This window comes from Homo sapiens, chromosome 11 (genome assembly GCF_000001405.40).
Source record: "Homo sapiens chromosome 11, GRCh38.p14 Primary Assembly".
Taxonomy (NCBI): domain Eukaryota; kingdom Metazoa; phylum Chordata; class Mammalia; order Primates; family Hominidae; genus Homo; species Homo sapiens.
In genome coordinates, this window is record NC_000011.10 from 55,652,855 (window position 1) to 55,666,096 (window position 13,242).

A 13,242-nucleotide genomic window follows, 5' to 3' on the forward strand; every position below is an offset into this window, starting at 1 on the left:
ATTAACATATAATTTCTATTTTGCTCTTATTTTAGCAACAATTCAGATGGCAGAGGAAATACATTTTTGTGGATACTTTACTATGTTTCACAGAGATTCTATTTTTTAAAGTATGCATTTATTAGCTTTTGTCATAATACAATGACAAAAGAAGAGAAGAAAAGAATAAAATCAAAAGTTACATAATATTACCATACAGATGTCTTATTTACATGAAAATATAAAGGAACACATGCATATTGAACTGTCTGAAAACTCAAACAGTTCAATAACGTAAAAAATGAAAGAAAAACATAATAATCACTTTCCTATCTTTTCTTACAAACACACCATTGTTCTCAGTTTCTTATGATTCCTTCCATTAAAAATAATCCTATACCTATATTCACTTATAATTTCTATTTTATTTTATGTTTGTAGTCACATAAAGGAATAGTATAAACATTGACACATAACTTTTTCCTTTAGAGAATAATATACTCTGACCGTCGCTTCACGACAGCACTTACAAATGAAACCCCAGGGTCTAGTCAGATTGGACGTAGATGCTCTCACCATAGCAGTTACACTAGAGACCATGCCAGAAAACAGTCCTCTCCCAGGGAAGGTCAAAGCAGCCAGCAGTGTGAGAGGGTGAGATGAACGAGGTAACATCCGGGGTTCGCAATTGATTGAGCATGTGGCCAGAGACTGGGAGGTAGTAATTGAGAATGTCCTTAGGATTGCGACCAGTCCTGTTTTCCAAACTAGACCTAAAGAAAAACACAACTGAGAAAACTTCCTTAGTGTTGCAACAATTCCCAGAACCATAGCTGATAGAGAACATCTTCCTCTTCCAGCACCCATTTTCTCACCCTTGATTTCTTTCACCCTTGGCCAGAACTTCAGTTGGTTTGGGATGTCTGCCTTGTGGGGTGACTGAAAGCTTTATCTATAAGAGTTTGATCCCTAGTTGCCTTGTTCTTATTTACTGTAGTTGCTGCAATTGTCCAGTTACAGTTATCCCTGGTGTGCAAGTGCTAAGAGAGATTCCACTACATTCTCTGCATTCTGGATATAATCATCTCTGTCCTAATCCATTATAACAACACTAGCTACTCATAAAAACCAGAATCAAGTACCCTAGTAAAAATAGTAACTATTTTTTTTTTTGCATGCCGGTCCATTTGTGTAAGGAGCACAAAATAGTGTTCCTGCTGTGTTCCTGGAAAATATCTTCTTCTCTCTAGAAACCGGGACTTCTGTCCTCATGAATCTGAAGACTAAGAAAGTGAGTTTCTGGGAGTGTAAAAAATAGAAAACACTCACTTTCACCCTTTGGATCTCAGAATGATGTATGGCAGGCAAATGGGGACTCCACACCGCATATCAGGCATCGGTTCAGCATTCAATGCATACTCTGAATCCTGAAGACAGCATCCTGTCTCCTCCAGCGCTGACTTCTAGCTAGTCCCTTGATTGAGCTCTTAACAATCCTTTCCCCTCTTCTATGAAGCTAGAAGCTTACGGGTGATGGGCTATATGGTAAGATCAGTGAATTCTGAGATCATGAGAAAATTTTATATCTCCTTTGCCCTAAAAGGTCCTAGGCAATCTTTAAGGGATATTATATCAATGTATCAATCTGTCTGCAAGTTGTCAAATGTTGGTGTAGATGAAGGCACTATGGAGATGGGAGGCAAATCTATGTCTACAGTGTCTATTGTTTCTGATTAGGAGCAATTGCTTTCACTTTCAGGGTGGAAGAAGTTTTGTATAATTAACCCGCTATCAGTCACATAAATATTTTCCCAGAGATAGGCATCACATTGAGTGCTCAGGCATGGATTCTGCTACTGGCATGTTGGACACTCAGAGGGGGCAGACGGCAGATCAGCATTTATGGTAGGGAGCTCGTGTCTCTGAGCCCAAGCATAAAACATCCTTGCCAGTATAGACACTCTGTCCATGTGCTTATTGTGCCATCACTGGAATATCCTTAGGCTGGATCATGTCAGAGCACAGTCCATCCTCATCGTGTAGATAGTTAAAGCCTGTTCTCTTGTACATGCTTTCAAGTTAGTTCCAACTTCAATAGGTCTATTCACATAACTCTTTTCCAGATCGCTTGGTCCAGTCTTCTGACCTTCCAGACACTTGATCAACAAACTAGGCATTTATCACTGCTTCAAGTCAATGTATATTTATTACCCAGGACTCTTCCCCTTCTATACAAAGTTGAAAGCAAGAATATTATTCAGGGTTTTGTCCACTAGCAGAAATTCTCTAGGCTACATACCTTTGAGGCCACCATTTAGGGCTGGGATGTCATTTTAGGTTAATATCAATGTATTGTGGTGACTTGTTTGTGAACCTGAACAGAATCCTTTCCTCCTCTGTCAGATCATCTCAGAGCATTCCCTGTGAGGCCATATGTGTGACTTGAGGAAGAGGCATTGATTTAACAGAGATGAGTCATATGAGAGTCAGAACTATCCATTTGTTCCTGAACCACTCTTTTCTTCTGATCTGCTCAGGCCAAGCTTTTACCAGTTCAGGCTTGTATTTGTTGAATTCAAATTGTTTTATTCCAAGTATTATATTTTATTCTATTTATTTCATATATTAACATAAAACCTTGAAAAAATTTGATTATTCATTTTTTCCCATTCCTTTCTCTAAATTAGTGTCAAGATTATCTTTTTGAAAGCAGCCTTCCCATAGAATATAGGAAAAAAAATTTTTCCTGCTTGTCAGAGGGAATATTTCAAGACATGATAAAAGGTATTAGCATCCTAGACAATATTATTCCCTAAAGTTTCCCTTATTTTGCATATTGAAAACAATTCCAATGTTGTAATAAATTTAACTTTTGGTTTGTCTATTTAGCCTACAAGAACAGTAAGTTAATCTTCCTCATACTCAGTAATTAGATACAAATGAGGATGTGGAGGTGCCTCAAGGACACCAAAGATATGAGGGAGAAAGAGGAAAAAAACAAACGGATGGTGGAGAGGGTGATAGAAAACAGAAAGGCATTGGTTAAAGAAGCTGTGGATCACCAAGAAATACTTCTACTCCCACCAGTGATTTAAAGTTGCCCCTCCCTGCATTGGGGAACAAATTTTTCTAGCTTCTGTAATACACTTATAATTTATTTGCAAGTAGTATGCAGGAAAGGAAGTGTGATGTCTCAAAACAAGAGGTTCTAGTCTGTGGGATATAGACATCTCCCTCCGAGAACCCTCATATTTATAGCAAGTGGCCTGAGAATTAATATGTACACCAGGAACTTAATCTCACTTTTTTCAACTTCATTTCTATTTGTTTTATTAACTCAAGTTAGTAAAATAACACTTAACAAAACACATTTTTATTAATATAATTTTATTCTACCAAATATGTATTGAATGCTTTTTATATACTAGGCTCTGTTTATCATTTTATAAAAGTTTGATCTTTTAATCCACATAAATATTCCATGAAGTAGGTAATAAAACTGAAAGAAAACTGAAACTCACAGAACTTAAGAAGCTTGCCCAGGTTGCACACTTATCTACCCTAAGAAAATGTTGAAAATGACAATTAATGGCCGGCATTAAATAATCAATTGCTATATAAGTAAATTAATAAATAAGACAAATGAAAACACAATGGAAGAGAGCTTGGGTAATAGTTTATAACTAACTTTTCTGTAAAATTACCTATGCGATGGTTAAGGATATAAATAAAATATTCTTTCTGAACTACACTAAAACTAATTATTTAGAAGAATAGCAATGTAAGTGAGGTCGGGTCTTGAGATACATCAAATGCTCCAGTAGAAATCTCTTTCACTGATACGACTTAGCACTTACAATCAACACGTCAAATGAGATGTTGAAAATGTCAGGATGCGCCTATTATACAGTGCAATATTTTTCATAATATGGTATGGAATGTAGTCTCAATAAGGAGAAAACGTGCAATCTTTGGTGGTCATTTGCTGTTTTTATGTACAATATCTAAATACTTTTGCAGATGCATCCTGCCTGCCTCGTAAGAACACTAACGTCAAGTTGTGGAAACTCTCTTGGTGGGCTCTGAACTCTGATTTTCCTCTAAGTAGCCGTAACTTTGACATTTTCAGTATATCTGTGTAATGTTTGGTTTGGGTTAATTTCTTCCCAAGGGTGTTAATATGACTCTCGCTAGCTTGATTATAAAACAAGTCTCCTAGGAGTTAATCTTTGGATTGAAGCATTATTAGCAAACAAATGCAAAGTCAACACATTTTTCTGGACTATTGAGAGAAGGCATTTTCTTTTTCCTAATAGAGTTGCTGAGAGTACAGATACAGGACTCCTGCTTATAATCTTACCAAGAGTGAAAAAAGTCAACACAGAAGGAAGCAGAGCCAACAGATAATTAGAAGGAACCAGTTCTTATAATAAAATTTTAACAACAGAATGTACCTATTTTCAAACAATTTTATCATATTTGTTTTCTGTTATTGCTTTTTACATTTATTTAACTACTATAACAAATACATGTAAATTTACTATCCATACCAAAACTTAAACTGTTACCAAAAATTAAATCCATTTTTAACCTCTTTTCTATGCTGTCCCCTGTCTTACCTGAAAGGTAGCCAATATCCTGATTTTGTTAATGCATAATTCTCTTATTGCTTAAAAATAAAATATATTTGCCTAAGATGGATATGTTTTTTAAAGATTTATCTGGTTTTGAATTTTAAAGAATTTAACATACTATATGTAGAGTTTTAGGCATAGATTTTACTTTTTATTCAGCATTAAGTTATTAAGTTTTGTATTGGTTATTAAGCATAACATTAGACAGTTAACAAAAATGACCCTGAAATGGAAGCCTGTGCACAATTTGTAAGGATTAGGCTCTGAAAATTGGAATGATCATTCTAGTTCTTGATAACCTTACAAGTTGCTGGACATAAAGGAGTCAATGTGAATAGAATCACTTTTTATAGAGTGGAGATGTGTTATGATTTTTTATTCATTTTGTCTTGAGGTCTCTCTCCTGAGAGTGCCCACAGCTCCAGCCCTGCTCAGACCAGGAATTCAAAGGATGTAGACATGGATATTTACAATGTGCCTTTTGTGGATACTTCTTTGTCCTGGAGGAGAGCCCAGTGCCTAAGTGTCTGACTAGGATCGAGAATTTCCTCTCACAGGAAAACTGTACTAGCAGATGTCCTTATGGCTCTTGTCTGACCTGTGCCCAATTTATTCTTACCAGGACTGCCACTTTCTGTGACAGCCCTGACTGGAGAGGGTGGGTGTGGGTGATTGTGTGTCAGATGAAACACAATGAAGAAGTGAAACCAAAATGCATGAAACAGAAGAAAGGTATGACTCACAGGTTTCAGAGAGGTGAAGAGTGCCCACAGGAGTCTGACCAAAGTCCAGAGGCAGCAGGGGGCTCAACAAGGGGAAGCAAGAAAGAGAGGATCTGTGGGTTTATGCCTTTATTAAAGTCCATGGGCATTATCCTTTAGGTTTTCCTGCGGGGGTTGTGAATTGTCTAATTTAAAGAAGACTGGTAAGTAAAGGGAGGACTGATTTGCATAACTCTGACACTGACTATTAGGTTTTATCATAGCCAGCAATTGTGAGTGTGTTGGGTTGTGGGTCAGTAAGTGAGTAACAAACAGGATATGTCACAAACAGCCAGGCCAAAGGTGGCAGAGTATGACTGGGTTTTAGACAATTTACGCTGGGCCTAAAAATAAATGCCAAAGAAGCAACCGCATTAAACAAATTTATCACAAGAAGGAGTGCAAGCTATAAGGCATTACTTCCAAAATGGTAAAATATTACTTAAAAATGTCAGTTATGAAGAAATTGGAAACAATTTAAATAAACAGTTTTGCCTAGATGCATATTTTCTGGTCAAAATGGCAACTTCCTGGGTTCACATATGACTCCTGTGTTGGAAATGGAATCTAGAGATGAGATTTGACTGAGGTTTCTGCCAGTTTGTATGTTCTAGTTACTGTAAGATTGTGGCCATTCTGCAATTCAGGTACAGATCACGGTGCAGAAACATGATTTAATGGTTAATACTGTGATCTAAATTTCTGCTTGTGGAGAAGCATGTGTGTCTGGCCCCAGGGGTGTTCTTGCCCCTGAGAACACCCTATTATTGAAGAAAATAGATGGGAATTCACTGGATTACATATCAGATTCTCCATCAGTGGAGAACTGGCCTCAAGGGATGCAACTAGAATGATGCATTTGTGACCCATCGCAGCTGCTCAAATGGGCAAAACACATTCATACAGCCCTGGTCAGTCACTCAGTGGAGATCATATATTCATGATCTACCTACTCAGAAATGGATCGCAAACTTTCTCCACATTCATCTAAAAGGGCAGTCAACTGGAATTCAAAAAGAAACATGAAATGATTTGGTAAACGCTGTACTTAGATACCTTTTTAGCAATTGTTCTTAATTGGAGACTGTTCTTAGTTATAAACGTCTTGGTAACCCAGGAAAGTTATTTCTTCATTATTAGGCTTACAGATTTTTACTGCTTCTGCTTTAAAACTTTCTTTGAAAACACTTGAAATCCTAGTTCTACGAATCTGACCAAGATTTAATAACTGAATGACTTTTCCCCGATTTATATCTGGAAAGCTTATTTCCACAGTCGGGAACATCAACTTGAAATAAATTCACCTGGTTTTGGACTTGAAGAAGTTATTTCATGTGAATTAATTTTGGGTGTGATAAGATCTTTCGTTATGACTCAGATGACCTTAGAATGTTTTTACAACTCCCCACTTTTAAATGGCTATAAAAACTAAGCTCTAAAATTCGTATTATTTGGTTAAATATTTAGCACATAGATTTTAGTTATTGCGTAGAATTATAGCATACAAATTACCTTAAAATTATTAGTTAAATTAATTTCATTAAGTATATACATTTTTAAAAGTATGTCTCTTATATAGTATGTCAGTAATTCACACTGAATACCTGTTTGCTCTAACTTTAAGCAATATTTATTCCTGAATAAGAAAATTCAAGTTATGAACTAGGGTTTCTACTAAAATTATTACTTAAGATAGAACACATTACTTTACTTGATCTACTTTTGTACCCTTTGAGCAAATTTTTTAAAAATTAAATGAGCCAGACTCTAAGAAATGAAAACTGGTAAATAAAATAATATGTGTTGATTTCCAAAGAATGCTCATAGTATCCAAGCAAAGGAGTACATAACCTATCTGGAAATAGTTACTAGGAGAGTCTACGATGCATTTTTCCCCTAATTTCACTTTCTTTTTTCTCCTCCTCTCTTTCTCCCTCTCACCTCCCCATATCTCCTCTTACTTTTTTTTTTCTCTCTGCCTTTGTGTATGTGTATGTCTATCTCTATAGCTATATATCTGTATCTCTCACTTTCCTTTCATTTCTTTCCTCTTCTCTTCCTCCTTTCTATTTTTGGGCTGAAGGCCCTTTAATTCTTTTGTACTATTAGTCTTCAATCTCTGATTTTTAAAAAAGTGTTGCTTTGCTTAAAATGTATAATATATAACTAATATTGTATCAGATTGGTGGTTTTAATTTAATAATGAGTTCAATTTTTATGTTTCTCTATGTGTCAAAACATAACTACTAAATTTAGTTATAAGTGTATCTACCAACAGGAATGGCTATAGAGATGGTGATGGAACTGGTGATGGTAGTGGTGATGCTGGTGGTTTAGTGGTATTGACAATACACTGACAACTTATTATAAACTCCAATTTCAAAAATTACAACATTATTACCACTTCTATTCTTTAAAATTCTATTAGAGTTAGCTACATTGTCACTAGTCCCTAGTTTTATGAAAAGAGAAAGGAATTGGGAAGTTATTTGCATTAAGAGATTGTTTTGAAGTCCTTCAGTGATAAATCCTAGTGGCTAGTTGAATAGTCACAGAGCTTAATGGTCTATCTAGGTACTGAAGCATTCATTTGGAAAAAAATATTGCATATGTGTGTGTGTGTGTGTGTGTGTGTGTATATATATATATGTATGTATATATGTGTTTATATATATTTATCCAAATAGAATTGAGAAAGAAAGATCAGCCACAGAATCAGGTTTTCTGGAATTTAAATCCTAGCTATATCACTCATTAACTCTATTACTTTGAGGAAGTGACAAACTCACTATGATAAATTCTAATTATTGCTATTAACATTGTTTTTTAAAATGAGCATATTTATAAATCTACTTAGACTAAAATAATTACTGTATTTTATCTAGTAATATATGTTTGCTGAACAAAATTCTGATTTATTTTATTATATACAATGCATATCTATTAGATAGTAAGAATAAAAATAATAAAATTGAAAAATAAGAAATGTAAATAGAAAGGAAAAATGTCTTTACTACATTATTGCTGAGAATGAACATTTTGGGAGCAAAATTTGGCAATGCCTATTCAAGTTTTAAAATGTTCATATTCCTTGATTCTGCAATTATATTGTTAAAAATTATCTTACAGTAATACAATTTATTCAATCTGTGTATATATACATGCATGTATATATGCATATATATATTCAAATTGCATATATACACATGTGTATACATAGATACATATAAACATGTACATATACAAACAATGTGTGTGTGTATATATATATACACACACATGCACACATACCATATACACAAACTTATGAAGATTTTCAATGCAGCATAGCTAAAATAACAGAAAATATAAATAATATAGATCTTCATATAGAGACATGCAGTGCTATCAATAATATTTATTAAAATTAGAGTATATATGTGTATGTATTGGGACCTATTGATGTGTAATTACTAAATTGCATATACAAAATCCTAATTTAATATTTCTAAGTACAAATGCACATATGAAAGAATAAGTCATCCTTAATAAATTGAAAAGTGTTCCAGAAGTCAAAATTAGAACCTGGTGTATGTGACTCACATTCCTTGCTCTGTGTTTTACACTGCACAAAGTCCCTTTGTCCCTCCTCTGGGCCTTTGTACATCTGCTCCACCTGCTGGGAGTAGCCCCTGGTCTTACTTTATCTTAGCCACAGTCTAGCTTTAAGGCTTAAATCATTTCTTTTCTTTCATTTCTTTATGAAAACAGTTCAGTTATTTCTATTCAACAGTTATTTCTATTGTCATTATTTTACCTGCCCTTTATTTAAGAAAATAGGTCACATTTGACAATTTTTTGGATTATCTGTTGTCTACTTAAATTAGTAGGAAAAGTGAGGGAACTATGAAGAATTAATTATAATTGCCTCTGTCTTTCCTAGAACAGCTCTTTAAAAAAGAATTCCTTACTACCTACCGTGCAAGAACATGCCATGAAGGTGGCTGATGGTGTGATTCAAGATTGAACTGGAAGTTCAAGGTACAGTTTAATTATTGATGTAGGCTGAATTGTCTAGGAATACACAGGGTAAAAGATGACAGTTAGAAAATGTCATCATTGAGCTTATTGGATAGGGAAATAGCAACCAGACTCTAGAAGAGATTTACTTTCACACATGGAGGATGGGCTGGCACCAGCATTATCTATGTCCCACTGCTCACTGCAGTTTCCTTCCAATTGATAAATGATATTGATGTCCACTGCAACTTTACTATTCCCAGGAACTCTGAGATATGTGGAAGAAGTAGCAATTCTTAAGCATTTGCTTATGGAAATAAGAGAAACATGTAATAAACATAAAGTAATGATATATAGAAAACACATCTTGTGAGTGGGTGGAGAAATATTCAGACTGGTGAAAGTGGCGGTAGGCAGTGGGGAGAATTGGTTGACTGAGGGCATAGACAGAGGCACTAGGCAAGCCTGGACTTTACAGACATGTGACATGATCAGGAAAACCAACACGAATACTGCACTCCCACCCTTTATGGGTATTACCTCCATTAGCCTTCACAGCAGTTTTGTGAGCCATCAGGTGAAAATACTGGGGCGCTGTGAGGCAAAGGAGTTGGTAGCCTGGGCATCGGAGTTAGTCACATGCCTGCAAGAAACTGTGAGGCAGCTATGCAATTTCTCTAAGCCTCAGTTGCTGCTTCAGAAAATCCAGTCATAATACTTATTTCATATGGCCGTTCATGATAATCAAATGAGAAAAAGATGTTTAGTCATTGCCCATAATCAGTAAGTAATACAAACATGGTAGCTATGGCTTCTCTTTCACTAATTGTGCTGTTGCAGAAATTGAGGACTGGGGAGGTTGAGATTACAAAGCCAGTATGTAGCCTGGCTAGGACTTAGAGGTAGGTTTGCTGTGTCTGAATTCAGGAACATACCCTTTGAACAGAAGATTAAGTATGGAAAAAAATAACAGGGTATGAGTCTGGCAGGAAGTAAGTGGGACTGATGGTGGAATAAATACAGTGAAGCACATGAGAAATGAAGTCCAAACAGTAAGAGAAAAGGGGCTGGTGATGAGACCTGAATGTCAGTTGGAAAAGTTCAATTCTGTTCCGTATCAACACAGGGTCATACTAGGTCCCAAACTTAAGGACAGACAGGGCATATATATTCTAGAATAGCGGCTTTCATTTTTCTGAACATGAAATGAACAACCCCTCTAAGGAAATCCTACCCAGAGACATAAACAATTAATGCAAATAACAACTGAGTGTTTGTGTTTGAAGAGGACAGAGCCAGTCCTGCTGATACTCATCTAGGAAACCATCCTTATACTGCAGATGAGAAAACCAGGTTTCGGAGATGCCAGCAGCATGCTCAAATACAGATTAAGTTAGTGATGCAAAGTGGAATAAAATCTACTTGTCATTTATTGACTCCCAAGCCAGCGTTCCTTTAACTTCACAAGGATTGTTGCAAGAAAGTACTCAGTCCTGGGGCTAGGGAGGAGAGGATGAGATTAAGTAATATATGGCACTTCCACAGTTTCCTGTGGTTGTTCTGCATTCAGTGTAAGGGATGGGGGTGGAGTGGGCTACTGAAAAGCAGGAGTGACTTCTTAGCATTAACAGAGGGGCATAATCCAAATATCAATGTGAAGCTTTGCTTTTTGCAAAATTTCTTAGATGTGGCATCCAGGTCTGCTTTATAGTCCCTAGTAATATGAGGCATTCTTTACTGCAGGTTTTTCTCTTGGTTGCAGTAGTAACTTCCCTGAAATACAATCTATTCTTCTCTTCTCATGTGGTGGGATATACTAGGTATGAATCGAAGCCGTGTGAGCAAAATGCCAGCTCCACCACAAAATAGTTATATAATCTCGTGCAAGATATTTAACTCCTAAGGGCTTTGGTCTCTCTTTACGATGGGAGTAGTATAGGTACCTACCTCATGTGGTATCATGAGGTTTAAATGAAATAATATGGCTAACATATCTGGCATAGTGCCCAGCAGCATTGTTAGCCTAAAAGCTAATTGCTTAGTTGTTGTCATTATGCTCTGAAATCCTTTGTTCCATTTAGGAAACAGAGGAAACTGAAAGGAATGACTCAGGCTAATTCAAGGTTCAAGTCAGTTGTATTGGGGATCTGGAGTTTTGCTGAACCATGATGGTTTATAATCTTCATTACTGAACAATGAAGTCAGGGATTATATAGTAACTACTTTTAGGTATATGATGATCATTTAAAATTTAGAAGAAAAGCACACAATTGGAAAAGAATCAATATTTTTTTAAAAAGCACAAGAATAACCTACTTCATCACATTATTTTTAAGATAAGCAGGATAATAATTGTAATATACTTAGCATAGTGATTGGTGAATGATAAATCTCACAGCATAATTACTAGAGAAGCTGTATTGATATTTGAGGGTACTGATTCCGGCATCAGAATATAAGGTCCAAATTCTAGCTTCACTACTGAAGAGCTATGTGACCTTGCTTAAGGTTCCTAAACTGTATGAGAGTACGTTCCTGTTTCTGTAAAACAAAGCCAATCATAGAATTATTCTAATGCCTGGAATAAGGAATTGCCTCCAAGGTGAGGTAGGTGCTAAAAAAGTTATCTATTAATAATAACTATTATAAAGGTAGGACAAGGAGGAAAAAATCTATTTCACATAGAAACACAATTTAGAAAGGGAGGAGAAAAGGCTTGGGGAAGCCTTGCATAAATAAAGTATTTCCCTTTTAAATTATTTATTTAGCACATTCTTAGAAGTCAAATGCCTAGATGGAGAATACATGGGTAAAAACAAAGAACAAATTCCCTGAGGTCCTGGAAATACAAGAAGCCAAATTAGTCACTAATTATAAATCATATCTTGCTTATTTAGGATTCTCAACTCTCAGCTGGAACTCATATCAACACCTGAGAAATGGAAAATCAAAACAATGTGACTGAATTCATTCTTCTGGGTCTCACAGAGAACCTGGAGCTGTGGAAAATATTTTCTGCTGTGTTTCTTGTCATGTATGTAGCCACAGTGCTGGAAAATCTACTTATTGTGGTAACTATTATCACAAGTCAGAGTCTGAGGTCACCTATGTATTTTTTTCTTACCTTCTTGTCCCTTTTGGATGTCATGTTCTCATCTGTCGTTGCCCCCAAGGTGATTGTAGACACCCTCTCCAAGAGCACTACCATCTCTCTCAAAGGCTGCCTCACCCAGCTGTTTGTGGAGCATTTCTTTGGTGGTGTGGGGATCATCCTCCTCACTGTGATGGCCTATGACCGCTACGTGGCCATCTGTAAGCCCCTGCACTACACGATCATCATGAGTCCACGGGTGTGCTGCCTAATGGTAGGAGGGGCTTGGGTGGGGGGATTTATGCACGCAATGATACAACTTCTCTTCATGTATCAAATACCCTTCTGTGGTCCTAATATCATAGATCACTTTATATGTGATTTGTTTCAGTTGTTGACACTTGCCTGCACGGACACCCACATCCTGGGCCTCTTAGTTACCCTCAACAGTGGGATGATGTGTGTGGCCATCTTTCTTATCTTAATTGCGTCCTACACGGTCATCCTATGCTCCCTGAAGTCTTACAGCTCTAAAGGGCGGCACAAAGCCCTCTCTACCTGCAGCTCCCACCTCACGGTGGTTGTATTGTTCTTTGTCCCCTGTATTTTCTTGTACATGAGGCCTGTGGTCACTCACCCCATAGACAAGGCAATGGCTGTGTCAGACTCAATCATCACACCCATGTTAAATCCCTTGATCTATACACTGAGGAATGCAGAGGTGAAAAGTGCCATGAAGAAACTCTGGATGAAATGGGAGGCTTTGGCTGGGAAATAA

At 36.4% G+C, this 13,242-nt stretch overlaps 1 protein-coding gene across 1 annotated transcript; it reads left to right on the plus strand.

Moving 5' to 3' along the window:
* Positions 1–9,346: 9,346 nt before the first annotated feature.
* Positions 9,347–13,242, plus strand: OR4C6 (olfactory receptor family 4 subfamily C member 6). The gene is made up of 2 exons (NM_001004704.2): positions 9,347–9,394; positions 12,271–13,242. Exon 2 carries the CDS (start codon positions 12,313–12,315, stop codon positions 13,240–13,242), a length of 930 nt encoding a protein of 309 aa, NP_001004704.1. The 5' UTR covers positions 9,347–9,394; positions 12,271–12,312.